At 62.1% G+C, this 27,427-nt stretch overlaps 3 protein-coding genes across 10 annotated transcripts in view, besides 4 other annotated features; 2 read left to right on the top strand and 1 right to left on the bottom strand.

Moving 5' to 3' along the window:
• CFAP46 (cilia and flagella associated protein 46) overlaps nt 1–999 on the top strand; it is a 134,179-nt gene extending 133,180 nt beyond the window's left edge. For all 6 annotated transcript variants that reach the window (NM_001200049.3, XM_047425387.1, XM_047425388.1 and 3 more), the window contains one exon: nt 487–999. In NM_001200049.3, coding sequence (NP_001186978.2) covers nt 487–970 — 484 coding nt within the window. In that variant the 3' untranslated portion in view covers nt 971–999. The remainder of the gene's footprint in view (nt 1–486) is intronic.
• Nucleotides 281–1,254: an enhancer, noted in NCBI's record as "H3K27ac-H3K4me1 hESC enhancer chr10:134621641-134622614 (GRCh37/hg19 assembly coordinates)". NCBI's record gives its function as "activates a minimal SCP1, AML or CMV promoter by ChIP-STARR-seq in naive and primed H9 embryonic stem cells {active_cell/tissue: H9 hESC(naive and primed)}" and the evidence as "EXISTENCE:reporter gene assay evidence [ECO:0000049][PMID:30033119]".
• Nucleotides 3,595–4,096: an enhancer, noted in NCBI's record as "H3K4me1 hESC enhancer chr10:134618799-134619300 (GRCh37/hg19 assembly coordinates)". NCBI's record gives its function as "activates a minimal SCP1, AML or CMV promoter by ChIP-STARR-seq in primed H9 embryonic stem cells {active_cell/tissue: H9 hESC(primed)}" and the evidence as "EXISTENCE:reporter gene assay evidence [ECO:0000049][PMID:30033119]".
• Nucleotides 16,885–17,386: an enhancer, noted in NCBI's record as "H3K4me1 hESC enhancer chr10:134605509-134606010 (GRCh37/hg19 assembly coordinates)". NCBI's record gives its function as "activates a minimal SCP1, AML or CMV promoter by ChIP-STARR-seq in naive H9 embryonic stem cells {active_cell/tissue: H9 hESC(naive)}" and the evidence as "EXISTENCE:reporter gene assay evidence [ECO:0000049][PMID:30033119]".
• Nucleotides 19,898–20,692: an enhancer, noted in NCBI's record as "H3K27ac-H3K4me1 hESC enhancer chr10:134602203-134602997 (GRCh37/hg19 assembly coordinates)". NCBI's record gives its function as "activates a minimal SCP1, AML or CMV promoter by ChIP-STARR-seq in naive H9 embryonic stem cells {active_cell/tissue: H9 hESC(naive)}" and the evidence as "EXISTENCE:reporter gene assay evidence [ECO:0000049][PMID:30033119]".
• Nucleotides 23,244–26,210, top strand: NKX6-2 (NK6 homeobox 2). The gene is made up of 3 exons (NM_177400.3): nt 23,244–23,848; nt 23,939–24,111; nt 24,221–26,210. Exons 1-3 carry the CDS (start codon nt 23,443–23,445, stop codon nt 24,473–24,475), a joined length of 834 nt encoding a protein of 277 aa, NP_796374.2. The 5' UTR covers nt 23,244–23,442; the 3' UTR covers nt 24,476–26,210.
• INPP5A (inositol polyphosphate-5-phosphatase A) overlaps nt 25,911–27,427 on the bottom strand; it is a 245,694-nt gene continuing 244,177 nt past the window's right edge. For all 3 annotated transcript variants that reach the window (NM_005539.5, XM_017016204.2, NM_001321042.2), the window contains one exon: nt 25,911–27,354. The gene's annotated coding sequence lies outside the window, so the exon portion shown is untranslated. The remainder of the gene's footprint in view (nt 27,355–27,427) is intronic.

The following is a 27,427-nucleotide window of genomic DNA, read 5'->3' as shown; positions in this document are numbered from 1 at the left end:
CCAGTGTGGGGCCCACACGATGCCCTGCTGGGGAATCGGGGAAGGGCAGAGCCAGGCTGGCTGTCCCGCTGCTGCTGCTCAGCGATGACCTGCAAGTTCTGGTCCCTGCAATGGAGGCATGAGCCCAGTGACTGTCACTGTTCAAAAGGGGCAGAGGCTGCTGCTTCCTGCAAGGCCGCAGCCACACTCTAGACGGGCGCCCCCCCAGCAGAGCAGCTCGCCTGGCCAAGGGGTAGAGGGGGATGGTGGGCTTCGGATCGGGGGTCCAGTCCTGGTGCCGTCACCCGGCTGCGCGGGCCTGGACACCTCGGTGCGGGAGGGGTGCGGGTGGTGGGGGCGCCCTGGAGGCCTGGCGAATGGCAGTGTGTTCCCCAGAGCGCCCTCAGTTGGAGCAGCTGCCACTTCCCGCCCCTGTGCCCTGGTCCTCACCGGGCTGGACGTCCTGCGGGGCCTCGGGGTTCATAGCTCCCGCCCCTTTCTCCACAGACGAGGCTTCTCAGACCTTGAAGGACAAGCTGCTGCTGCTCCAAAGCTCCGAGCTCCTTCCCACCACGCTCAACTTGGTCCTGTATGGGCTGCCGCACCAAGCCATCGGGTAGTGCAGGCCTGGACCTGCCTCCCATCAGCTGCTGGGGCCCCAGCACTTGCCTCTGCCCTTGGCTCTGCCCCTCTGCCAACCCATCCCCACCTCCCGGCTCCCATCCCCAGCTCCCAGCTCGCTCTCCCCTTCCTGGGCCTCTCCCCAGCCCTTGGTGCAGCCTCAGCCAGGGACCCTCCCCCAGCGACTTCCCGCAAGGCAGCCGCCTGGACCTCGAGCTCTGCCTGCCTGTGTGCGCCATGGGGTCTGCGTCGGGGCTGGAGCTGCGTCTCTTCCCGGGGCCAGGACAAGGGCGGCCTCCCCTTGGCGGCGCTGGTGCTGAGTTGCTTAGACCAGAAGACTATTCAGACCGTGAGCCTGTTTTTGATTTGAGTGTTCCACTAAACAAACAACAAAAGCCAGTCTCTGTGAGTGGTTTCCGTGACTCGAGGCTCTGGGTGGGGGGCTCCTGGCCCGCAAGAAATGCGCCCCCTGAACCCAGCAGCTTTCCAGAGTGGGGATGGGGGTGGGGCTCACACTGGCACAGGCCACGTACCCTGCACACGTGCAGGGCCCCTCAGAAGGAACCTTCCAGAATAAGGAGAATCATGGGTGGTGGAGTCTGTGCCGGCAAGCACCACGTGGAGCTTCTCGTGAAGTGATGCTTTTCTTCCTTGAACACTCCTGGTGGGCTGCTGCATCCAGCGGCTCCTTGGGGAAGAGACGTGCCTTCCAGATGGCCTTTCTGACCTTCTGGATATGTCTCTCCCAACTCGGCCGGATGAGTGGGGGCTGGGGGGGGGGTCAAAGGGCGTATTGGTCCATGGGAGGACCACGGGAGGACCATGGGGCCTGCAGAGCCTTCTGGGGACGCACCCTCCAGCCATACACACGGGCTCTGGCCAGGAACAGGGGAAGTCCCAGGACGGCCCCAAAGGGCCAGAGCGTGAGCCTCGCGTGTTCCCGCCAGCGCTCCTGCCCGCCCTCTGCGTGGGGCCGCGTGGGGCTGTTTCTTCAGCCTGGGACTCGCCATGGGAAGGCCGGAGGGCAGCCCCTCCCGCGTGGCCTACAGAAGCTCAGTGCGGGAGCCACGTGAGGTCAAGGCTGCCTGTGCAACCTCAGAATCCCCTCCGTGAGGGAGGGAAGGGTCTGCCGAAGGCGTTCCCGCCACGCTGCACCCATGGAGCCCACTCGCCCGGCTCGGCACCCACCCAACTCCTGCCGGGCACTGACGCCAGGCCGACGAGAGCCCAGACAGCTGGGTCAGGACAGGTGGCCCCAAAATTGTCCAAAATAGGTCTATGGGCCAGGCGCGGTGGCTCACGCCTGTAATCCCAGCACTTTGGGAGGCTGAGGCGGGCGGATCACAAGGTCAATAGATCAAGACCATCCTGGTCAACATGGTGATGCCCCGTCTCTACTAAAAATACAAAAATTAGCCGCACACAGTGGCACGCACCTGTCGTCCCAGCTACTCGGGAGGCTGAGACAGGAGAATCACTTGAACCCGGGAGGCGGCGGCTGCACTGAGCTGAGATGGCACCACTGCACTCCAGCCTGGGCGACAGAGCGAGACTCTGTCTCAAAAATAAAAAAAGGTCTACGTACCTAGTCCCATAGCTGGAATTTTAAAAAGAATAAAGATAACATCAAATGCTGGTGAGGACACCAGGAAACGGCCTCTCACACGTTGTGGTGCAGCCTCTTTGGAAAACAGTTGACCTGATTCTTACAAAGCCACAACCCAGCAATTGCACTTTTAGGCGTTTAGCCCAGAGGGCGGGAAATGCACCTTCACACAAACGCACACACGAGTGTTTACAGCAACCCTGTGTCCGTCCACAAGCAAATGGTCAAACTCCGCTCTGTCCACTTGGGGTTAATGCTGCCAAGCAACAGAAGCAGAGAACGGTGGCTCCGGCCCGGACAGACCTCCAGGAGTTGGGCTGAGGACAAAGCCAGCATCAGAAGCTTCACACACCGCAGGGTGCGGCTTGCAGAGCATCTCAAGGCGGCAGAGCTCCAGCACTGCACAGTTAGCGTGCCTGGCACGGGGGCCCGCTGCTGACACACCAGTTGTGTGTCTCGACGGTGGCTGCAACGCCAATCCCTACCTGAGAAAGGAACCACGGCACCCGCAGTTCACCGAGAGCTTGAACCAGTCTCATTTCCCAGCTTTGCCATTGGCTGCAGCTGTGCGGTCACCGCTGGGGAAGGCCGGGGAGCGGACCCGCTGCGCCGTGTACTGTTTTTGCAACTTCCTGTGAATCTATAATTAATTTGACATAAAAATTTCAAATGCACATCTTTGATAATATTGAAAGGTTATGTGTGATTCCCCTCTTTTGTTTGATTTTTCTTTTTTCAAATATATACACATGCTTATTTCAGTTTAGGAAAAAAAAAAAGCTAACTAATGACCAGGAAATAAATTCAAATCAGAGCTGCGCTGGAAATATGGGCTTCCTTCTATGGAGCCGCTGGCGCTCACCCAAACAACAAGAATAAAAGCTTCTGGAAATATTTCATCCACACAGCACCACATTTTTTACCCTACGCTGTGTCCACACATGTGAGAAATATTAAACGGTGAGTGCCGTTCCATGCATCACAGGCTTTAAAATAACTTTCTGAATTATGTCCCGGCAACATAACAAATCACATTATCAATTAGCTTCCATAACAGAAGTGGCATTCTGTAATATATTCAAGCATAAAAAAATTGCATAGGTGAAATTTATGTAACCCTAAAAACTATAAGGCAAGAGCAGATGCCTTGGAATTTATTGGAGATAATGGGGGACAGAGGGTGGTCTCGCGGTGCTTGGCCCTCAGCCTGCAAGTCCCGAGCGCAGAAACCATGCAGGTCGGTGGGGGACGGGACTTCCAGGAGACGCTCCCCCGGCCAGCGGGTCCCCAGCCCGGGCCTCTCGGATGTCAGAGGGCCCCTGGGACCAGGGGAGGCAGGGACGCTCCTGCACTGCTGTCCCCGCTTGGGTAGTGACAGGGTCAGCCCAAGCCCCAGGCCACACACTCAGCAGCCCCGTCTTCTCCCCAGAAAGCAGCTGGAAACCTGGCCTGGGCCTTCGGGGGAGCATGAGGTGAGGCTTGCTGTGCCCCGGCTGGGGGCTGCCCCCCAGCTTCCTGACTGCGTGCTGGGGGAGGTGACTTCCCTCCAGCCCCGGCGCTTCCCTCCCACGAGGCCTCGTCCTGCTCGGGTCCCAGGTGGTGGAGGGGCACCCCCAACAAGCTGTCCAATCTGGTGCCCTCAGTTCTTCCACCATCTAAAAATGTCCATTTATTAGTTTACAGATTGAAAATTTTTACACATTTAGAATGAGGGTTTTTCACCCAAAGCCACACCAGACAGCAATGTTTAGGGATCCTTTCTGGCTCCCATCAGCCTCCGTTCCTGCATGGCGAAGCTCGTGCTGTGTCTCCAGTAACTTTCCCAGCTTCCCCATTTGGAGGTGGTCACGTCCAAGTCCCGTTTAAAGCTCCCCTTACCCTGCGACAGGCACCTGGCAAGGACCCTCTAAAGAGTGTGAGTTCCCGGCAGCCCGGGCTCTGGAACGCAGCCTCAGCCCCTCACTGCACCGGTGGAGGTGGCCTCTCTGGACAGGGTGGGGCGACAGGGCCCCATCAGGTCTGGGCCACAGCAGAGTGGGCTGGGGGGGCCTGGGCACAGCCAATGCCCCCCGTCCCATACTCACTGGGGTCACACACATGTGGCCTGGAAGGTAGGTCCCCAAAGTTCCCACCCAAAAGGCTGTGGGAAGGTCAAAGGGCGTGGCCAGCACCCTGCAGTCGTCCCTCTTGTAATCCCCAGGTGCACCTCGCAGCCCCTGTAGGCCCCTACCCCGCCCCCGCCTCTCCCTTCTTTGGCAGCTCAGCCCCTCCCCTGCAGCCTGAGGGCCCGGCCTGGGTACCCTCGGGATGTCCCTTGAGCCACGCCCTGGCCGTCCTCTCTGGAAACACAGGGGCTCTGGGCCGCCACTCACAGGCACAGCCAAGAGGCCTTTCAGACGGATTTGGATGAAGGAATTAGGCGGGTTAATAAAACTAAAATGTTCACAGACGCTTGTATATAAATTTCTAGTAAGTTGCCTCATCCAACACTGGTCTCTCTAATAGTTTAATTTCTGTGTTAAATAATTAAAACTCTATCTCCAATTGCTGTGAACAATTGTTTTCCTTAATGATCTTCCCAGAGGAGCCAGTAATTTTATATCTTGTAAAAATGATTAAATGGCATCATTATCCCATATCTCTGAAATATAACTCAGCAACTTCAGGAGAGGCCATTCGTATTCAATTAATGCCCCCTTGCGCGAGACGTGGGTGTCACCTCACGCCAGCCTCACCCGGCTGTCCTCGTTTTATGATGACAATGATGAAGATGGAAACAACCAGTTTAATTATCCCATTTCCAACACAGAAATCAATTTCCAATACGTCTTCACCCGTAAGAAAAAAAGGCAGCCGTGGTTCCTGGGAAGGGCAAGTGGAGCGAGAGCCCTGTGAGGGGACAGGGCCGAGGGGACAGGGCCGAGGGGACAGGGCCGTGGGGACAGGGCCGAGGGGACAGGGACGTGGGGACAGGGACGTGGGGACAGGGCCGAGGGGACAGGGCCGTGGGGACAGGGCCGAGGGGACAGGGACGTGGGGACAGGGCCGAGGGGATGGGGCCGAGGGGACGGGGCCATGGGGACGGGGCCGAGGGGACCCGGCCAAGGGGGTGGACCTGAGGCCCTGGGGCCGCTCAGTTGCCCATCCCCCTCCCGGCTCCTTTCCCAAGCACAGGGCTGGGCCCTGGGAGCTCCCTGCCCCTCCTTGCTGAGCTCAGGGCTCTGCACCCTCCGAGGGGCCTGGATCCCCCACCTCTGTCCTGTTCCCAGGGGTTACCCTCCCCTGCCCCTCTCCCACACCTCCCTCTGGCCCCACAGTCTCTCCAGCTGGGCTCCAAGGGGCTGGGACGTGGGTTCCTGGGATGACCCCGCATGCTGGGCCGACACGCTGACCCCCATCGGCCCGTCCTGCTGTCCTGGAGTGGCTTTAGCATGGCGCGGAGCAGCTCCCGCTGTTAGGGTGACTCGAGGGACACGCCTGGCTACTCATCACCGTGCTAGTGGCCAAGATAATCTAATTGTTTGACATTTTTATCACAATTCATTGGGACCGGAGCGAGATGGCTAGATTGACACCCCGTGCAGTCGGCTAATGGCCACACAATTATGAAGAGCTCTTAAATGTTCTTATTACGGATTTTAATTCTTTGTGACAAGAGGCAAGAGATGCGTTAAGATAATGGGGACGCAGCTGAGCTCCGCCTGCTGCAGACCTGCCTGTCTTTCTGGCCCTGCCCTGAGTCCAGCCTGGCTAGGGTTGGGGTGCTGGAGGGACTTGGGGTGCTCAACAGCCTGGGCAGAGACCAGGGGGGGTCCCTATAACCCCTGACCCCAGGAGACCTCGTCTTTGGAAGGAGGCTCTTGAGGCCTAGAACCAACCCCTGTGGAGCTGCAGCTGGAGCCCCCGCGGAGCCTGCACCCCACAACCCTCAGGACAGAAGGCTGGACTCAGGGCTGTCCTGGGGGCCTTTCAAGGGGCTTGAGAAGGGTTTTTTCTGGGAATCCCAGCCCCAGAATGTCTTGCCACCTTTGAGGAGCTTGGAGACCTCGGCCCCTAAATACCGGCTGACCCACGACGGGGTGAGGCAGCTCCTAAATACCCACGATGGGGTGAGGCAGCTCCTAAATACCGGCTGACCTACAATGGGGTGAGGCAGCCCCCCCCCCCACCAATATCAGGCCCTAGGAGAGGAAGAGCCCCGGGGCTTGAGACCACAGGACTCACTCAGAAGGGAGGGCAGCGGTCCCATCACAAGTAGCTTTGCTCTTTGGGCTGTAGGGGTCGCTCCCCTCCCTTCTCCGCATCGCTGAGCCCCAGCCCTGCAGGGACAGGGCCTGAGACTTCCCAGAACCCTGTGCCTCTCTCCCTGGGCCCCGTTCTTGCTGACTGAAGAAATGGGAGGGAGTCAGAGAACCAGGGTCCCTTAGTAACAGACCCCCAATTCCTGGCCGGGTGTGCGGCCAGCCTCCCAGTGTCCCTTAGAAATCTCACACCTGTAATCCCAGCACTTTGGGAGGCCGAGGTGGGCAGATCACGAGGTCAAGAGATCGAGACCATCCTGGCCAACATGGTGAAACCTGGCCTCTACTAAAAATACAAAAATCAGCTGGGCATGGTGGCATGCACATGTAGTCCCAGCTACTGCAGAAGCTGAGGCAGGAGACTCGCTGGAACCTGGGAGGTGGAGGTTGCAGTGAGCCTAGATCTTGCCACTGCATTCCAGCCTGGCAACAGAGGGAGACTCCGTCTCAAAAAAAAAAAAAAAAAGGAAAAGAAATAGACCCCCCATTCCTGGCCAGGTGCACAGCCAGCCTCCCTTGCAACACGTGTGGCCATTTGACTAAGTTCTGGTTCAAGACACCTCCATAAAAGGAAAGGCTTGCTCTTTTTCCTTCCTGTCTGCAGGATGGGATGGAATTTGATGGCTGGAGCTTGGCAGCCATAATGTGCTATGAGGTGAAATCTACATGTTGAGGATGGCACAGCCACAGTTGCGAGGAGCCTGGGTCCTCAGTGCTCTTGGGGTCAGAAGCTTCCTGTCCTGACTAGCTCGCCTTGGACTCCATAAACATGAGCGAGCAACAGCATTGCCCCTGGTTTAGTTCTCACCAGAGAACCTGATCCCGTGGACGCGGTGGGACCATAGGACCATATGGACCACGCATGGGGGCAGGGGTCCCAGAGTCGTGTTTCCCCCTCCAAGGCAGAGTCCTTGAGAGCAGGTCTGCATGGGCTTCGAGGGTGGGGCCTGGGCCTGCTGCCCCAGGCTGCTATGGTCCCATAATCACTTCCAGGGTTGACAGGTGTGGTTCCCAAGGCTGCTCTGTCCTGCTCATCGAGGAATTCCAACCCAGGCAAGAGGCCAGGCGGTGGGGAGAGGAACGAGGAGGACTGTGGACAGAGGACCAGCCCACGTGAGCAAGGCTGCAGAGGGGATGGCCCAGCAAGAGGAAACACGGGTTCTGTTCTGGTTACACAGCTTCCCTGGGGAGGCTGAAGGGCCCAGCCATAGCAGAGCCATGAATGTGGAAAGAAGAACCCGGCAGGGGTGTCTGCATCCCCATGGTGGAGAGACGTCCCCACCCCCATCTCAGATGTCCCCGCCCCCACCTCGGAGAGCCCCAGCCACCTGCCACGTGGGGCCTGCACAGCTACCCCAAGTCCAGGGTCTCTGATGTCCGAATGAGAGGTGACAGCGTGCTGGCAGTCCTCACAGCCCTCGCTCGCTCTCGGCGCCTGCTCTGCCTGGGCTCCCACTTTGGCGGCACTGGAGGAGCCCTTCAGCCCACCGCTGCACTGTGGGAGCCCCTTTCTGGGCTGGCCAAGGCCAGAGCCGACTCCCTCAGCTTGTAGGGAGGTGTGGAGGGAGAGGCGCCAGCGGGAACCGGGGCTGCGCGTGGCGCTTGCGGGCCAGCTGGATTTCCGGGTGGGCGTGGGCTTGGCGGGCCCCGCACTCCGAGCAGCCGGCCGGCCCTGTGCAATGAGGGGCTTAGCACCCGGGCCAGCAGCTGCGGAGGGTGTACTGGGTCCCCCAGCAGTGCCCACCCACCGGCGCTGCACTCGATTTCTCGCTGGGCCTTAGCTGCCTTCCCGAGGGGCAGGGCTCGGAACCTGCAGCCCGCCATGCCTGAGCCTCCCACCCGCTCCGTGGGCTCCTGTGCGGCCGGAGCCTCCCCGACGAGCTCCGCCCCCTGCTCCAGGGCGCCCAGTCCCATCGACCACCCAAGGGCTGAGGAGTGCGGGCGCACAGCGCGGGACTGGCAGGCAGCTCCACCTGCAGCCCCAGTGCGGGATCCACCGTGTGAAGCCAGCTGGGCTCCTGAGTCTGGTGGGGACGTGGAGAACCTTTATGTCTAGCTCAGGGATTGTAAATACACCAATTGGCACTCTGTATCTAGCTAGGTTTATAAACACACCAATCAACACCCTGTGTCTAGCTCAGGGTTGTGAGTGCACCAATGGACACTCTGTATCTAGCTACTCTGGTGGGGCCTTGGAGAACATTTGTGTCCACACTCTGTATCTAGCTAATCTGGTGGGGACGTGCAGAACCTTTGTGTCTAGCTCAGGGATTGTAAACACACCAATCAGTGCCCTGTCAAAACAGACCATTAGGCTCTACCAATCAGCAGGACGTGGGTGGGGCCAGATAAGAGAATAAAAGCAAGCTGCCCGAGCCAGCAGTGGCAACCCACTCGGGTCCCCTTCCACACTGTGGAAGCTTTGTTCTTTCGCTCTTTGCAATAAATCTTGCTACTGCTCACTCTCTGGATCCACACTGCCTTTATGAGCTGTAACACTCACCGCGAAGATCTGCAGCTTCACTCCTGAGCCAGCGAGACCACGAACCCACCGGGAGGAAGAAACTCCGAACACATCTGAACATCAGAAGGGACAAACTCCGGACACGCCGCCTTAAGAGCTGTAACACTCACCGCGAGGGTCCGCGGCTTCATTCTTGAAGTCAGTGAGACCAAGAACCCACCAATTCCAGACACGAAGTACAACCTCAGCCTGGCTGGCCCTGTGCTGGGGGCCCCAAGGCCAGAGGCTGGGGGAAAGCTGGGGCCCCACCCAGGCCCTGCAGCCGGTCCCGAGTCACTTGCCCCTCAATGCCCCAGGAAGGCCAGGTGCCGCGGGGGTGTGTGACATTGCAAGGCCAGGCTCTGTGTCCCGAGCCTGTGGCCCACCCAGGTGGAAGACGGGCACCTCCAAACAGGGCTCTGGGGAGTGTGTGCCTCTCAATCAGTCAGCACCTCACTGCACACCCCACAGGCTGGCCAGGGCTGGGCAGTCCAGGGAGAGGGGCCCCTCCAGTTTCCAGCCAACTCCCCCAGATGGCCCTTGAGCCACCCAGAGGAGTCCCCTCTGCCACCGTGACTGTGAGTTTCCTGAGGCCTCCCCAGCCACACAGAACCGTGAGTCAGTTAAGCCTCTTTTCTTTATACATTACCCAGTCTTGGGCAGTTTTTTATAGCAGCATAAAAACACACTAATACACCAGGCTCAGGCGAGGTGTCCCAGGCTCAGGTGAGGTTTCCCTGGCTCAGGCGCGGTGTCCCGGGCTCAGGCGCGGTGTCCCGGGCACAGGCGCGGTGTCCCGGGCTCAGGTGAGGTTTCCCTGGCTCAGGCGCGGTGTCCCGGGCTCAGGCGCGGTGTCCCGGGCTCAGGCGAGGTGTCCCGGGCACAGGCGCGGTGTCCCGGGCTCAGGCGCGGTGTCCCGGGCTCAGGCGAGGTGTCCCGGGCACAGGCGCGGTGTCCCGGGCTCAGGCGCGGTGTCCCGGGCTCAGGCGAGGTGTCCCGGGCACAGGCGCGGTGTCCCGGGCTCAGGCGCGGTGTCCCGGGCTCAGGCGAGGTGTCCCGGGCTCAGGCGCGGTGTCCCTGGCTCAGGCGCGGTGTCCCGGGCTCAGGTGCGGTGTCCCGGGCACAGGTGCGGTGTCCTGGGCTCAGGTGCGGGCCTACACTGGGCACCACCTTCCCTTCTCTCCTCTCCTATGAGCACCAAGCCACATCACTTGGGCTGGAATCCCAGCGCCGGCCTTGGCCAAAGGGGTTTACTGGGTCTGGGCACCCCCTGCCCGCCTGTGCTGTGGGACAGTGCGTCCAGGTGGCCGTGTGGCCTGAGGGTCTGGCAAGGAAGCTGTGGAGCCGCTTCCCCACTGGCGTCTGTGTTGGGGTTGCCTCTTCCAAGGAGGCCCCACAGCCCGGCACTCCCCACACCCCACACAGGCCCTGTCCCAGAGCCTCACCACGGGGTGTGCTCGAGGGCCATGGCAGTAACGGGTCTACAGCTCCCCTGAACAGCCAGAAGCCTCCCCTTCTCCCGCCACAGAGGACGGCAACTTCTTCCCAGGCCCCTTCTCCTACCTCACTGAGCAAAACCCCGGAGCAACCAGGGCCCAACACGAAACGGCCCTGGTCCTTCCAAGCCGGGTCCTGCAATGAACTCCACAGCCACACACGCCCCACTCAGCCCATCCCCACACGCTTGAACTCCACAGCCCCACACGCCCTACTCCGCCCATCCCCATACGGCTTGTGAGCCACTGTGACCCCAGGCTTCCTCCTAGATGTACCCACCCTGGAATCCCATACATCAGGGCAGCACGTGTGAGGCCTCGGGCCACGAGACTGCGGCCTGATTTCAGTCCCCACCTCATCCAGCTGCCTCGGCCCACCTCAGGGCCACACCGTCCAGCCCAGCTGCCTCGGCCCACCTCTGGGGCACCTCGTCCAGCCTCGGCCCACCTCAGGATCACACCGTCCAGCCCAGCCGCCTCGGCCCACCTCCGGGTCACACCGTCCAGCCCAGCCGCCTCGGCCCACCTCAGGATCACACCGTCCAGCCCAGCCGCCTCGGCCCACCTCTGGGGCACCTCGTCCAGCCTCGGCCCACCTCCGGGTCACACCGTCCAGCCCAGCCGCCTCGGCCCACCTCAGGATCACACCGTCCAGCCCAGCCGCCTCGGCCCACCTGCGGGTCACACCGCGAAACACGTCTCCTAACGGGACTGTTGTGTCACGTCACAGCGGTGGAGAACGCTGGGGGAGGCAGGAAGGGCCGTGGAAGAAAAAATAATCCAAGGCCAGGCAGACCCGAACCGCACGCCGGAGAGACACGGGGAGAGGAGACGCGGAGCCATGTTAAACCAGAATTATTCAACCAGTGCAATGTGTCCAAAGAGTCGTCTTGATTAAAAATACTACATGAGCTTTTTTCTTAACAATGACATACAGGTATCGAAACTCTCAAGTTTGTTTAAAAGTCCGTTTTTCCTTCTTATCTTATAACCTAGTGACCAAGTAAGAAAAAAAAAAAAAACCCAGAGCCAGCAACAAACCTACGGTACAAGGAGTATTTTTTAAATTTTTAAACTTTTCTTACTTTACCTGAATATAAAAAATCATTAATATCATTTCTAAAAGCCAAATGGAAAAAAAACCTCACACCAAATAAATGTTAACAGAGTTTATTTATCATGTTTCACTCTCCCCAAAGGTAAAGTTATATTAACGAGCTTGATGAAAGAAATATTTCCTATTCATAAAACACACCGTTTTAGCAGCTTCGCGAGACCCCCGAATTCGAGGCGGACGGCGCAGTCCTGCGGGAATGCTGACCGTGGCAGTAGCAGTGACATGCGGTGAAGCATCGGGGAGTCCTCTGTGGAAGGATCATTATGAAAAACCTGCGCAATCTTAGGCTTCCCTCGAATTTAGCAGGATAGGGTTTTGTCTCTCGTGATGATGACAATCTCCTGTCTTTCCCAATTCCTCACGAGGCACCGGTTTGGAAGCACCCCATTGTTTGAAGGAATGGCTGCCCCGGCACCCAGAGACCGAGGCGGCATCAGGCTCTGACCTCCGCACACGCTCCAGCGCCTCCCTGGGTGTAGCGGCTCCCACCTTGGCGCGGGCACAAAGAGGGTAAACAGGCAAACAGCAAAAAGGCAGTTCTGCACCCCCATCCGCTGCCACCCGCAGGAACCTGATTCCTGTCATCTGCCACTGCGGAAATCACGAAGCAGAGCCTCCAGTTCCTGCGCTGCTGGCCCGGTGTGGACACTGAGCCGTGCCAGTGAGAACGGGCGCAGGGGCGTTGGGAGGCTGAGGGCCCGGGACCAGGCCAGGCACATCCAGGTTCATGCTTGACGGCTCCCAGGGAAGGACCCAGGCAAGCTCCCTGCGGAGCCCCAGGAATTAACTGTCACCACGGCTCAGACTCTGGCGGGTGGAAAGAACAGAAAGGTTTACCTGCAGAGTGCGAGGGAGCAGCCTTGAGAAGGGCCGGCCCGCCCAACAAAGCACAGCGGACGCCAACGGGAGAAAAACCACCTGCCGTGCTGCCAAGGCTGCGTCTCTTCATTTAGCTAGAGACGCTGCCGCCGCACCAGGTGGCTCAGAAGTTACCTCAAATCTCCAGGCATCCCCCGAGCAAACCTCAGGAGTGAAATGGTCACTCGTAGGAGCCCTGGGTTTATGGAAAGGATTCCAGGTGTTCTTATTTGGGGACCAGAAGCCTGCTGGGGTGACCCGACGTCCTAGTGCGGTGTGGCCTCCACTGCCATCATGGGCAGTGTCTGGCTGTGACTTCGAACCTGGTCCGAACCTGGTCAAACCATGTGACCCCTGAGAGTGCTGGGAACAAGCTCAAAGCCCCCTGAACTCAACGTCTTCAGCATCAAGGGAAGCTTCCGGAACCCACTGTGCCTGAGGGTTGGTCCCAGGACTTCCAGGACCTCAGGCAGCACCTGCTCTGTCTGACGAGGCGAGCTGCCTGTGACACATTTCCTAAATTGTGTGTTTGTTGTTTTTTATGAATAAAAATAAGACATGTTCACAGGAAAAAAACAAAACAAAACAAAACACGAAGCACAGCAGATAATACAATGAAGATGCAGGGTGAGCCTGCTCCTCCCTCCGGGGCGCCCACAGGTTTGGTGCCCAGAGGCTCCTCTGGGCTTTTCTGGTGCATGCTTACACAGTTAACGATGAAATGACACAGATCTGTTTGTTTATTTATTATTATTATTTTTTGAGACGGAGTCTCACTCTGTCATCCAGGCTGGAGTGCAATGGCACCATACCAGCTCACTGCAACCTCCGACTCCCTGGTTCAAGCAGTTCTCCTGCCTCAGCCTCCCTAGTAGCTGGGATTACAGGCATGTGCCACCATGCCTGGCTAACTTTTGTATTTTTAGTAGAGACGGGGTTTCGCCATGTTGGCCAGGCTGGTCTTGAACTCCTGACCTCAAGTGATCCACCTCCCTGGGGGACTGACCCTGGGATGTGGCCCATGCACACCTCCTCCTGTGTCCTCTCCCTGAGTGGGCACCCCCATCTCCCGGGGGAACGTGAAATCCGGGCGCCGGGAGCCCTTTGCACCTGGGAGGGCAGGTTCAGTGCTCCTGGGAGAAGCCGAGCAAGTACTGTTGTCTGGGCAGGGAGGCGCAGCGTCGCTGGGAAAAGTGGATTAATTTAGATTAATTGAATTCAACTCAGCCAGGGATGGCAGAGGCCGAGAGGGACCGGGCATCTTCCCCACCTCCCATGTCCCCGCCCCATCAGTCCCCCCTGCCCTCCCTGACCCCCTGACTGCCTCCACTGGCCCCCCACAACTCCGTCAGCTCCCACCCCTCCCTGCTGGCCCCCCACAATCCCGCCAGCCCCCACCCCTCCCCACTAGTCCTGTCTTCCTGTTGGGCTCCCGTTGACTCCAGGGCCTGAAGCATTTCCAGAAACAACCATAACTGGGAAGGCCGTGACCCCTCTAGGACGGCTGTGTGGGCAGCCTCAGGCTGTAGGTCAGGGACCTGCGACTCCAGGCAGGGGGTGCCAGACCCAACTGTGGTGGGAGAGCTGCGAGCCACCCAGCCTCAGGGCACGTGCCCAGACTAGGACCCAGGGCAGTGGCTCTCCTCCCCAGCCCTGCCCTGGAGACACTGACTCACCCGAAGCCTCAAGGCCTCAGGCCCCAGACCTGCCTCCAACTCCCAGGCCAGACAAGACCCCGTTTCCGAGGGGAGCGCCCCTCGGCTGGAAGAGGAGGCTGGGGGGCAACACTCCAATCACAGATGGTGTTTCTGTTAAGCTGACTCAGGTGGAATGGCCGGGGAGGGGCAGCTCGGCCAGGGGGCCTCACACGGCGGCTGCGTTCCCCAAAAGTCAGAGGCCATTCCCCATGCAGGGGATGCCCCAGGACAAGTGTCCCGTCCTGGATAAACGCTCTCACACGTGATGCCGGCGTGAAGGCTCTGGAGACGAGGCCCTCCCGAGCCTGGACACCCGGGGAACGGCGGGTGACTCCTTCACTCTCATCTGAAACCATCTTGTGGGGGCCCTGCCCTGGGCTCCCCAACCAGAGAGACCATTTTCTCCTCACACACTCGTGCCTGCCCGTGTGCCCCCCCACCCCCCCCCGGTGAGGCCCTGGGGTGGACTTCTGCTGCCGGGAGAAACAGCCACCTCTGCCGTCCCCCATGACTGGCAGCTTCCTCCCCTCTTTCGGGTCTTCCCAGCGACCCACACTGCGTCCTGGCGGCACCCCCGGCTCCCCCACAGCTCCTGGGCAGAGGGCACCTTCACTGGCACCGCACGGTGACCCAGCACAGGCTGGCGGCCTCCGATCACACCTGTGACCCTCGTATTGCCACTGTCCCTGCTGGCGCTGCTGCGAGCACTGCTCTTGTCTGAGCTCTGTCCGCCACTGGAACTCACCCAAGACCCGGGATAAATGGGCAAAGAAGCAACGCCCTGAGAGCTCAGAGCACCCTCGCAGGGTGGGGCTCAGACAGTCCTGAGCTGGAGCCGTCCCACGCTCGGCTTCTGTCACGCAGACACGGCTGCCGAGGCCACTGGGCACCCAGTGCCGGGGCCTCTGTGAAGACCTGGACGGGAAGGGGCCCCGAGGACCTGTGGAGGCGTCCATCACTGGGAGGCGCCATTGTCGGGAGGTGCCCATCAGCAGGGGGCGCCCATTGTGGGGAGGCACTGGCTGTGGCACCACACGACCCGTCGCCCGCCCGGGGGCCCTCACCCCCCTGGAAGCCCCCACACAGCGCCGTGGCCCAGCCTGGAGTGGCGCCAGGAGCGAGCCTCTCCGGAAGCCCCCCCTTGGCCGGTGCCGGTCCCATCTCATCCTCGGATCACAGCCAAGGCGCCGGAGCAGGCTCCTGACACAAATCTCCAAGGGCTCAGCACTCAATTAGCGCGTGCGCCACGTGGCCAGACACCCGAGAGGCCCCAGGAGAGAGCTCATTACGCCGGCTGCACATCTGGTGCCCCAGAGCCCTGGGGAATTAGCTCTGGGCGTGATTTACAGCCACGTCTCCTTGTCCTTTCCTGAAGGAGACAAGATTCTTTGGACCCCAGAGAAGAGGGTTTCTGAGGAGATGCGCCGCTGTCCCACCGACGGCGTGGCCCCTCCGCTTCGGCAGCCTCAGTGGCCCACCTGCTCCTGGGGAGTCTCCTCCAGTGATCGAGGGGGACTTAGTCACCCCCAGCCCGGCCTCTGTGTCCACAGGTCACACAGGTGGGAGGGTGGCTTCCTGCATGGGCTCTGATGTCCTCAAGGGATGCTGTTGCCCCAGGGCCTCCCCAGCCAGAGCCCACAGCAACTGTGTGCTGGCCACTGCAGGGGCGAAGAGCCCTTTCTGGCCCAGCTTGTTGGGTATTGTGGGGGCCAAGGCGGCCAAAGGTCTCCAGCTGAGGGCCAGGTGCCTCCAGAGGCAGGAGAGCTGCGCCCAGCTGCTCCATGGAGACGCCCTCCAGTGGCAGAGGCCCCCTTGGAGGGCCGCTCACCAGCTGTGGGCTCCAGTGAGCTCCTCCAGGTGTGGGCATCTGGTGTCCTTGTCCCAGGGGCCATGCAGGACCCGGGAGGAGAGGTGGCGCTGTTCCCTCAGGGGCTGTGGGACACCCATGTGAAGACAGGGAGGTTCCGGGCAGTGCACCCCGGTTGGTGGTACAGATGTGGGGTCCTCAGTGCCCGGCAGGGAGCCAAGAGGGCCCTAGAGGTGTCTGTCACCCACCAGGGCCGCGGACCCAGGGGGTTCCCGAGGATGGGCCTGGAAGTAGAGGAAGAAAAATGAGCAACAGACAGGGAGGAAAACTAGCTGCACCTGTAGCCTGGAGGCGGGGGGCAACGCAGGCGGGCGTCAGGGCCGAAGTCACATGGCCAGAAACCTGAGCGGTGCCAACAGATGGGGCAGCTCCGCTGGGGACCAAGGAGCTTGGGCCGTGCCACCCTTTTAAGAACTTCACCTGAGAAGTGAATGAAGATGACAGATTCCATCTGCAGAAGGCGGGGCACTCGCACGGGGCAGCTCCCAGCAGCCAGGGGTCCCAGGGACGCGTCCCCAAAGCACGACCACCAGGGAGAAGAGAAGCAGCCTGCCCGGTGTAGACGCTGCACCCACACGGTTCCCGGACCCAGTGTAGACGCTGTACCCATACGGTTCCCGGACCCAGTGTAGACGCTGCACCCCCACACAGTTCCCGGACCCAGTGTAGACGCTGCACGCACACGGTTCCCGGACCCAGTGTAGACGCTGCACCCACACGGTTCCCGGACCCAGTGTAGACGCTGCACCCCCACACGGTTCCCGGACCCAGTGTAGATGCTGTACCCATACGGTTCCCGGACCCAGTGTAGATGCTGCACCCATACGGTTCCCGGACCCAGTGTAGACGCTGCACCCCCACACGGTTCCCGGACCCAGTGTAGACGCTGCACGCACACGGTTCCCGGACCCAGTGTAGACGCTGCACCCACACGGTTCCCGGACCCAGTGTAGACGCTGCACCCCCACACGGTTCCCGGACCCAGTGTAGACGCTGCACCCACACGGTTCCCGGACCCAGTGTAGACGCTGCACCCCCACGGTTCCCGGGCCCAGTGTAGACGCTGCACCCCCACACGGTTCCCGGGCCCAGTGTAGATGCTGCACCCCCACACGGTTCCCGGACCCAGTGTAGACGCTGTACCCACACGGTTCCGGGACCCAGTGTAGACGCTGCACCCCCACACGGTTCCCGGACCCAGTGTAGACGCTGCACCCCCACACGGTTCCCGGACCCAGTGTAGATGCTGCACCCACACGGTTCCGGGACCCAGTGTAGACACTGCACCCCCACATGGTTCCTGGACCCAGTGTAGACGCTGCACCCACACGGTTCCTGGACCCAGTGTAGACGCTGCACCCACACGGTTCCTGGACCCAGTGTAGACGCTGCACCCACACGGTTCCTGGACCCAGTGTAGACGCTGCACCCACACGGTTCCTGGAGTCCAATGTGTGCATGAAAATGCCCCGCAGCAGGGCTGAGGCTGAGGAACGGCGTCCCCTGAAATCTCTGCATCAGGGCTCAAACACCTGGCAGGCCCACCCGCAGCCCCCAATGCCGCCTTGGCAGCTGGTCAGAGCTGGCCTGTGCTTCAGCAGAAAAAGGCACCTCCACTGAGGCATTCCAGCCTCCTGCAGTAGAAAAAGTGTCCTCCCAATGAGCAAAGGGCCCCTCCTCTTCCTCAGATGGCGTCTGGGTGTCGAGGGACCCACTGGGGCCCCTGCCGAGGGGTCCTGTGGTGAGGGCGCGCCTGCTGCCCCTCTTCCCCCCAGCTCCACTGCTCAAGCTTGGCCTGTCTGCACCCAGCACCCCCGGGTGTCCTCCTGGGAGGGCTGGACCTTGTCTCTTGGCAGCACCGTGGGGCCCTCAGAGCCCTCCATCTAGTTCCGGGCAGGGCAGGGCCCCTTCCCAACACCATCGGCTGCCTCTGGTCACTCCCACCCAGGGGCACAGGGAATCTCTGAACACCCCTTCCCTGGGGAGCAGGAAGACTTGAAACCTCCTTGGCCAGGCCAGGGCGGTTTCTACTGTGCCCACCAGACCCCCAGGCTAAGCCAGCAGGGAGACTGGAAGGCCCAGTGTCCAGCCCCTGCCCTGCCTCAGGGTGGCTGCTCGCCCTCTCCCCTCCCACCCCACCTGGACAGCCTCGGTCCTCAGGGCGCTGTAGGGAGTGAGGCACCTGTGGGATGGAGCCTCAGCGTGGGTGGGAGAGATGCTGCAGGGCCCAGGTGCGGAGCCGCGTGTGAACGGGCAGGCGGCCCGCAGCGTCTCCGTCACGAGAAGGAAGTGGATGCTCGTGACAACAGAAGAACTCGGTTCGGGGGAAGAACTTGGTTGTTCAGGGGAAGAACTCGGACCATTCTCTGTGTGTCTCTCTCTGTGCTTTCGGTAGGTGCTGCTCCGTGGCTGCTGCATTTACAAGTGACTTTTAAAGAACAGAAGCTGGAAGGAAACCTGGGGCTCAGGATTCAGGGAGGGGGCCCTGCAAGGTGGGAGGGGCCCGGCCAGGGCCCAGGCTGTGCAAGGAACTTCAGGCCCAGTGAAGCTAGAGGGTCCACAAAGGCTGGGCAGGGGCCACCCTGAAGGGGTGCTCAGAGAGTTCAGGCAAGCTCTCCCTCCCCTGCCATCCAGGTCCTCCCAGCCCCTGCCCTCTTAGCCCCCCTTCAGGGCCTCCTCAACCCGCGGGTGTTCCAGATTCCACAGCCTGGCCCATATCTTCCAGGGAGAGTGTTCGGGTGCCCGGGCACCCACTGTGGCCCCACCCCAGCTTCCATCAAAGCCTCCCTCCCTGTCCTGGGCCACTCGGCCTGGGGAGAAGCGGCACCCTCTCCCCAGAGCCTGATCCTCCACTTCATGTGGACCTGTAGGTGTTGGCAAGTGGGCAAGAGGCCGCCATAGCCTGGGAAGAGGGGGCACCTGGACGCCCCACCTACAGCTGGGTACCCCAGAAGCTGCCGGGCTCTACCTGGACACCCTCCAGCTCAGGAGATGGGGTGGGGTTGAGTTTGGTCTAAACAGCAAGACCTCAGGCTCAGCTGGGAAATGCCACGGCGCCAGGCCCCACATCCAGCATGTCCTGTGGCTCAGGGTTCCTGGAGGCACCTCCACAGTACCTGCTCCTCCCGGTGGGAAGTCAGGTGCGCGGTCCTCCCTCTCCAACCCGCACCCGGGCTCTGAAAATTGCTCTGAGGCCTGCAGCTGTCACACTTGCGTTCATTCACCCACCCAGCAGCATGAATTCAGTCCTGGAGGCGCCCAGAGGACAGAGCCCCTGCATCCATCCATGTCCTGAGCAAGGTGGCGAGGAGGCGGACATCAGACACATCCACTAATGCCTTCGGCAGGGGGCCAGTGCCAAGAGGGGCAGCCGTGCTGAGTGGGAGTGTGGGGGCTGCACCAGACCGGGTGGCCAGGGAGGCGTCCCTCAAGCTGAGACCGCGTGGAGGAGGTGAGCCCTGTGAAGTGGGGGGGCAGAGTGGCCGGGGTGGGTGAGCCTGGGGGCCACGAGGGGACCAGTGGAGGGCCTGGCAGGCATGGGATGGCATTAGGTGGAAACAGGTGGAGGTGGAGACTCGCGATCTCTGAAATAAAGCCGCTGCTAGCAGGCTGGTGCTCAGCAGGCAGTGCTGGAAGTGTGAGAAGGGGCCAGGCTAGGCCAGGATGAGGAGTGGAGCCTCCTCTGCCCACCTAGGGGCGTCAACTCCCACCCCTGGGCGGTCCCCACCCCAGCCCTCAGCGCTCATGGCCTTTCAGACCCGGCTGGGTCCATGAGCCCAGTGGGACGCCGGGGCTGCCTGGCTGGGATCTGCGCCTGCCTCCCAGCCCTTTCCCGCTGCCCTGGCAGGGCTGCCCCCAGAGGGCACGGGAGATGGGGTTGGGGTCTGTCCTGCGTGGGAGGCAGGGCCCCTTCGAGTTGTGTTGTGGGGTGGGGTTTTCTCTAGCCCCCCTTCCCCTTCCAGCAATTCCAGAGCGTCCTGGTGGGCTCCTCTGTTTCCAAGCAACAGAAGGCACCCCGCCTGGGCCCGGGCTCCTGGGGGTCCTGGTAACCCCACGCCGCTGCTTCCGTGGGTGGGGCCCACAGAGGGGTCCCTTGAGTCATCTTGGGCCTTTTTTGGTTCTTTGGTCATGAGGACCCCAGGGAGGCCCCGTCTGTGTCTGGAATGCCTGGTGCGGTTACCTTGTCAAGCCTGGAGAGGCCGGGAATGCGCTCACTTCGGGAAAAAAGACAATGCAGGGCCTTTGCCGGGAACTGCTAGGAGACCCCCGGCCTGGGGGCGCGGTCAGGGCGGGCAGCTTGGCAACTCGCCTAGGGCTGCGCGGGACAAGTCACCTCAGTGATAAATCAGAGTTTGTGAACTCTATGGCCTGGGCGGCCGAAGGCGAACGCAGGCTCCTTCCCTCTGTGGAGTTCCCCCGTCGCCCCTCAGCCCCCAGCGCGGGGACACCGGGGCCTAGGCCGGCTCTCCTTCCGGGCCGACACCCCCGCCGTCCTCCCCGTCGCCCGCTCCCCTGCAGACGCCGCGGGGGTGCCGGGGGAGCGCGTTTGCTGCTCTGACCCGCCCGCGCCCGGGCCGGAGCCCGCTGCGTTCACGGTGCACCCCCCGGACAGCCCGGGCGCGGTAGGAGCCCCACAAATACAGGCTGAACGAGTAAAACAAACTTGAATGGCCTCTGCCAAACCCCGCGCTCTCGGTTTTCCAGCGCGGAGCGTCGGCGCCGATGCCGGCAGCCTTCCTCGCGGGACATCTGCTCGCGGGCCAGGAGGTGGCATCGCGGACCTCTCCAGGCAGCGGGGCCGCCGGGCGGCGGAGCCCAGGCAAAGACATCGCGGTCGGAGGCGCTCGGACCTTCCCGGGAGGAGGGGGAGTTGCCTCGGTGGTTTCCGAGAGGGCGGCACCGGGGGACGCAGGAGAAAAGGTGCGGGCGGGGGCCGGAGAGGGGACGGGGCCCGGAGTGGGCGCCGGGAAGCGTAGGAGGTGAAGCCACCGGACCCACGCGCAGCTCCGCGAGGAGGAGGGCGGGAAAGCGCGTGGGGCGCAGGCCGGGGAGCCGGGTAGGACGCGGCACCTGCGGAGCGCGCCAAGACTTCCACGGCTTACAAGAACGTGGGAGAGGGACCCCCCCTTACCCGGCTCCTCTGCGCCCCCAACTCACCCTGGCCCCTCATCCCGCGCCCCTGAGCCCTGGAGAGCCGCGCGCTCCGCAGCCAGTGACACGCCAGCCCCACCCGCGACCCCACGCGTTCCCTCGGCAGCCCAGGGAGGACCGGGGGGCGCAGACAGACCCAGGGTTTATCGGGCCGCAGCGCAGCGCCTCCAGGTCCATGTTTCCTCAGCCATAAAACAGCGCTAGCGACGCCCCCTGCCCCGCCCCTCCAGGCTGTGAGAAGAGCCAGAGCCTGTCCCGAGCGCGGCTTCCTCCCGCCGTTCCGCCCGCGCGCGCCTCCTGGGCCTCAGTTCGGGCGACCCGCACCCCTCCCGGCCCGCCCAGGGTCTGCCCGGCCGCGCAGAGTGGGGGATCCCAGGGCGACAGCAGCCCCCGCCCCCAACTCCCCCTGCCCGCCCCCCCCGGCCCCGCAGTTCCCGCGTCTCAGCTCAGAGCCCGAGCCTTGGGCGCGGGCGCCGTCGCCTTGGGGTGCTGGGAGGGGCCCGAACCCGACCCGGGAGGGCCCTTCCTCGTGTCTCCTCCGAGGGAGCGGGGCGCAGGACAGGCCGGGGCGGGTCTCGGGGCCGGACGGGCGCTGGGGGTTCCCGGGCCAGGCTCCGCGGGGGCCGATCACCGGTGGGGCGGCCGCGCCCAATCGAATCCCAATCCCAGTCGAATCGAGTGCGGAGTCGACGGGGGAAGCGAACCCCCCGTGAACGCGGGGCTGCACCTCAGTGGAGCCGGAAGCCGCCGGGGCAGCCCCGAGCGCGCACACACCCGGCGGCCGCACCACTGCCCCGGAGTTTGGCCGCAGGTGGCTTTTCCAAGCCGCCATCCAGGAGCGGCCGACGGCGCCAAGTCCCCGCCTCGACCTGCACAAAACGAAAACGGACGCTGGAGGGGGGCGAGGGGGCGGACGTGAGACCCCGGCCCCGAACCCCGGGCGCCGCCTTCCTCCGCGGCACAGGCCCGAGAGAGGCCACGCAGCGGCGTTCCCTGCGCACAGACTCGGGCTCCCCACGAGCCGTGGGCCACAGCCACAGCCGCCCCGTGTCCCTAAATCAATACGAGACGTCACCACAGACGTCGGAGCGTTTGCTCGCGGCCGCCGTGCGCGGGGCTCGGAGTCATCTCACCGCCCGGTCTGCGGGATGGATGAGCGAGCGGCTCCCGGTGCCGTGGGGGCGGGGGGGACACCGGCCCCCCGCGCGCGTCTAAGGCCGCGTTTCTGCCGCTGCGCCCCCAGCCCGCACCCACGTTCGGGCCCTGGACAGGGCTTCCGCGCTGAGGCCGTCCTGGTCTCTGTTCTCCCGGCCGGGGATTCGCGAGAGGCGGCCCGTGGGCGAAGTCGTGGGCCCAGGTCACATCCTGGGGGACCCCCAGCGGGAGACCTGGAGGCCGATGACGGGGAAGTGCCGAGCCGCGCGTGTGGTCCCGGGACCCGCCTCCCCGCCCCGCTCCCGCCTGCCTCACTCCTCCACCGCGCCGGCCGCGTGTCGGCGAAACCAGAGGCAGCTCCGTGCGAGCCTCGCCCGGCCGTGAGGCCCGTGGATTCCGTGGACTCGAGGCCCGCGTCCTCCGCCCTCCTGTGGCCCCGACCTGCCCGGAGCGCGTTCCCCGCCGGCGTCCGCTGCCGCTCACACCCACCCCAGCCACGGGCGGCGGAGCAGTCGCGACTGGGACGCGGGCCGGGACTCTTCCCCGAGTGGGGCGCTCCGAGCGCGCGGGCGGGTCCTCAAATCTGCATTCTTTCCGTTAATAAAATACGTTCTCGTATTTTTTCCTGATTTCGCATGAAAACCTTTGCCTAACTACACTCCCATCCAAGCTGGATTTATTTCGTCCCCGGGGAGATAAATCGGGGCGAATTTACAGCCCGGGAGGCACCTGCCGCGCTAATGGGCCCTTCATGGAGTGCGCGGCCGGCGGGGGCGCGCGGGCGGGGGGGGGGCGCCGGCCAATGGCCGGACCGCGGGGTCCGCAGCCAATCAGCGCGCGCGCCGCGCCCCGGGGAGCCCCCGTTATCAGCGCGTCCGTCCCGCGCGGCGCCGCTCCGACCGGCCCCGGAGCCGCCGCCGCCGCCGCCCGCCCGCCCGCCCCGCGCCGGAGCCGCCCGCCCGCCCCCCGCGCCCCGCGCCCCGCGCTGCAGCCGACGCCCGCCCGGGCCGCGCGCAAACTTCCCGGGCCGGCGGGCAGGGGCGGCGGCGGCGGGGCCCGGATGGGAGCCCGGGCCGGCGGCGGCGGCGCCCATGGACACTAACCGCCCGGGCGCGTTCGTGCTGAGCAGTGCCCCGCTGGCCGCGCTGCACAACATGGCCGAGATGAAGACGTCGCTGTTCCCCTACGCGCTGCAGGGTCCGGCCGGCTTCAAGGCGCCCGCGCTGGGGGGCCTGGGCGCGCAGCTCCCGCTCGGGACCCCGCACGGCATCAGCGACATCCTGGGCCGGCCCGTGGGCGCGGCGGGCGGGGGCCTCCTGGGGGGGCTGCCCCGGCTCAACGGGCTCGCGTCGTCCGCCGGCGTTTACTTCGGGCCCGCGGCCGCTGTGGCGCGCGGCTACCCCAAGCCCCTGGCCGAGCTGCCGGGGCGCCCGCCCATCTTCTGGCCCGGCGTGGTGCAGGGCGCGCCCTGGAGGGACCCGCGTCTGGCTGGCCCGGGTGAGTGGCCCGCGCGGGGGGTGCGGGGCGGGTGGGCGCGGAGGGGGACCCCGCCGGCCGCTGACCTCCCTCCCTTCCCCTCCCTTGCAGCCCCGGCCGGCGGCGTCCTGGACAAGGACGGGAAGAAGAAGCACTCGCGCCCGACCTTCTCGGGCCAGCAGATCTTCGCGCTGGAGAAAACCTTCGAGCAGACCAAGTACCTGGCGGGCCCGGAGCGCGCGCGTCTCGCCTACTCGCTGGGCATGACCGAGAGCCAGGTGAAGGTGAGCGCGGCGGGGCTCGGGAGAGCAGAGCCGGGGGCCCGCGTCCTGCGAACGGCCCCAGCGCCAGCCCCGGGCCCCGCGGCCGCCTGACCGCCCCGTCCACTCCCAGGTCTGGTTCCAGAACCGCCGGACCAAGTGGCGCAAGCGGCACGCGGTGGAGATGGCGTCGGCCAAGAAGAAGCAGGACTCGGACGCCGAGAAGCTGAAGGTGGGCGGCTCGGACGCGGAGGACGACGACGAATACAACCGGCCCCTGGACCCCAACTCGGACGACGAGAAGATCACGCGGCTGCTCAAGAAGCACAAACCCTCGAACTTGGCGCTGGTCAGCCCGTGCGGCGGCGGCGCGGGGGACGCCTTGTGAGGACCCGCGGGGTGGGGGCGAATCTATTTTTGCAGAATCCGGGGGCGGCCCCGGGTGGGCGCGAGTCGCTTTGTATCATCAATAAATTATTTAACGGGTCCCCGTCGGAGCCGTCGCTCCGGAGCCTGCGCCGCGTGTTTCTTCCGTCTCGAACCCGGAGCGAGGCGGCCCCTCCCCGGCCCCGGCTTCGCCCCTGCGCCCGCCTCGGGTCCTCCGGGTTCCCGGTGCGGAGGCTGCGGGCCCCGGGCAGGCGCGAGGAGGCGGCGAAGGCGCAGGGAAGGGGCCCGGCCCGCGGGAAGGAACCGCAGCGACAGCCGCCAGGAGCCCGGGACGGAGCCGGGGACGGAGCAGCAGGTACGGCCCGGCCCGCCTCGCCTCGGGGCGGATTCGGACGCGCTTGGGGGTTCCCGAAAGGGCGGGTGAGCCGCGTACCCGCCTCGAGTCCCCGCGGGAGGTTTTTCTTCTTCCGTTTTCCCGCTTTGGGGCCACGTACTCGTTGCCACCGGGCACCCGTTCCCGCTTGGCCGAGGGCTTCGCTCTGATTATTTCCAAAGTCCCTCTGCGCATCAGCGGATCCCATAGGCCCGCCCTGGGCTCAGCCGGTGGAACCGGGTCTGATCCGCTGCACGGAGGCCCTTCGGTCACCATCCCGCCAGATCTTCCCGCGGTGGAAAGCAGTTTCTTCCGAACTAGGACCGCAAAGAGAAATCCGAAATAATTCCGCCCGCGGAGCGGCGGGGCCTCCCGTGGGTCACGCGGGGTCAGGGAGCCGGAGGCCCCCTGGGCAAGGCCCGCAGCGCCCAGCCGGGGGCTCGGGGGACCCGTCTCCTGCCCTGAAATGCCGCCAGCTCCGCGGGGCTGTGACTGCGGCTGACAAAACCCCTCCAGCCTCCCGCAGCCTCTGTGGCCGGGGCTGCCCATCGCTGCATCTTAATGGGCGTGGCTGTTGAGTTTTAATTTTTAAAAATTAAATGTAAATAATGATATCACTGCGGTGGTACGATTTCTCTTGGCATTTGCGGAAGCGTTAAAGGGAAATAGAAAGGGCTTAAACTCGGCGCGTTTTGTTTTAGGCTCTTAGCAGCCTTCTTTACAAGGAAGCAACTCGAAGGGCAGAAGCAACGCTTTTCTGTGGGGAGCCCCTCTCAGCTCAGAGCAGAGGGGCTTCTTAAAGTTTTGAGGAAGGCAAAGCGTTGATATAATCCCGTTTTAAAATGTTGAGGGATAAATCCTTTATTACAGTAGAAAGTCCAAAAGGCTGTGTTTCTCCTCTCAATGAACGGCTTAGTGTTTTGTGACAGCGTGTGATACAGTGAAATTCCAGGATTTCTAATGAGCTTGATCTCAAATAACAGGCTATACAGGAGGCCGCTCCCCTGAGTTAGCATTTCAAAGGTGGCAGGAGAAGGGAAAGGAAGAAAAAGCAACACGGGACTATTTTCACCACGGTCAATTTTATTGCTTAGGAACCAGACCGGTCACTTCCAAAGGCCCCTCAGAACGACCAACAGCTGAAACCCGCGGGGCGGACTCCGTGTTGAACCGCGGACAGCGGCAACCACAGCAGCGACACGGACCTGTGCTTCCACCAAGAACAGATTCCGCAGCGGACAGCAGTCACTTGCAGTGGTAGTATTTATCCCACACAAACACCCAGCTAATGCCTTCACCCGGTCCAGGAACTCTGTAGTGTTCTAAAGTAAAATCAATAAAACATACATTTGTGTTTCATCAACAGACTCTCTAATCACCTTCTAATGCTGTACTTACTGCTATAGGAGAAAAATATTTGCAACAAGGTTATGACATGGGTTGTCTGTAGCGGAGCAATGAGGAAATGTACAGTTTTGTTTCTCTTTAATATTTTTATATACAGCCCATGTTAAAAGCAGTTTCTATTGGAAGCAAACTAGGCTATTTCTATTTCTCCCATGATATTATTGTTGTAACGTAGGATACTTGGCACCATAAAACAGTAACAAAAGACAGACAAACGGTTTACAAAATTCTTAAAAGGTACACCCAGGCTAGCTATAAACTTCACATTCAGTTCTTAATATTACACAGAAGAACGGCATGGGAGTAACGGCCCGCTGGTGCAGACGTGCTGTGGGGCCGATTTTACCCACGATGGCGAGGCCATGTGTGTTTTTTACGAATTTGTGTGTTGATGGACACACAGCTGAGCTCCTAGACTCCAATGCCGCCTGCTGATGGGACTCTCCTGTGCGTTCATACTGGAAAGTATATTTAGCATAAGTTTTGGTAAGATTTATAAATTATTTTTAAAAAGTATATATTTATATATATTTATATATATATAAAAATGGAAAGCAGCTGCAGTGTGATTCAAAAACCATGTGACACGGCGCAGAGTCAGTGCCGCGGAAGGAGCATCGGCAGAGACAGACCCCCTTGCCATGCTCAGGGCCACGCTGCCGGCCGGCAGAGGGAGTGCCCGTCTCGGCTTCCCCAGCCCCTGGACACACCTCCACCTGGCAGAGGGGGTCCCTGGACACAGTGGGGGGTCTCTGTGCTGAAGAAGCCCCTCCACTGGCAATCATTAAAAACTGAAAACTGTGAAGTCTACGGTACAGACCCTCTTTGCTGTCTATTAGAGTTTTGACAACAGGACTGTGACTTATTTAAAAAAAAAAAAAAAAAACCAATATTTCTACTTAATGTCACATAGACAGACGAGACAGTGAGGTATGTGAGGCTGCTCCGGAATGGTCCGGAGGCTGAAGCGAAGTGTGGGGCTGGCCGTCTAGCAGGTGGCGCTTGGGCGGGTTCTCGATGCAGCTTTCAAGAGTGCGTATTCGGTCCACGGCTACAGGGAGGCTCACGAAGTGTCCTCTCGTGGCGCTGGCATCTCTTCCCTGTCACGGAATTCGTAATTTGTTAAAGGAACAAACGCACCAGGAAAAGCTGCGTAAAAGCTGAACTGGAGGG

Source organism: Homo sapiens, chromosome 10 (assembly GCF_000001405.40).
Source record: "Homo sapiens chromosome 10, GRCh38.p14 Primary Assembly".
Taxonomy (NCBI): domain Eukaryota; kingdom Metazoa; phylum Chordata; class Mammalia; order Primates; family Hominidae; genus Homo; species Homo sapiens.
The sequence above is the reverse complement of the archived record's forward strand: the minus strand, read 5'-3'. Positions and strand labels throughout refer to the sequence as shown.

What these genes read in the sequence shown, in the direction of transcription:
- NKX6-2 (NM_177400.3), top strand. Translation starts at nt 23,443, where the DNA reads ATGGACACTAACCGCCCGGGCGCGTTCGTGCTGAGCAGTGCCCCGCTG. An exon ending in CCCGCGTCTGGCTGGCCCGG is followed by an intron (nt 23,849 to 23,938) that starts GTGAGTGGCCCG and finishes CCTCCCTTGCAG; the next exon opens with CCCCGGCCGGCGGCGTCCTG. An exon ending in TGACCGAGAGCCAGGTGAAG is followed by an intron (nt 24,112 to 24,220) that starts GTGAGCGCGGCG and finishes GTCCACTCCCAG; the next exon opens with GTCTGGTTCCAGAACCGCCG.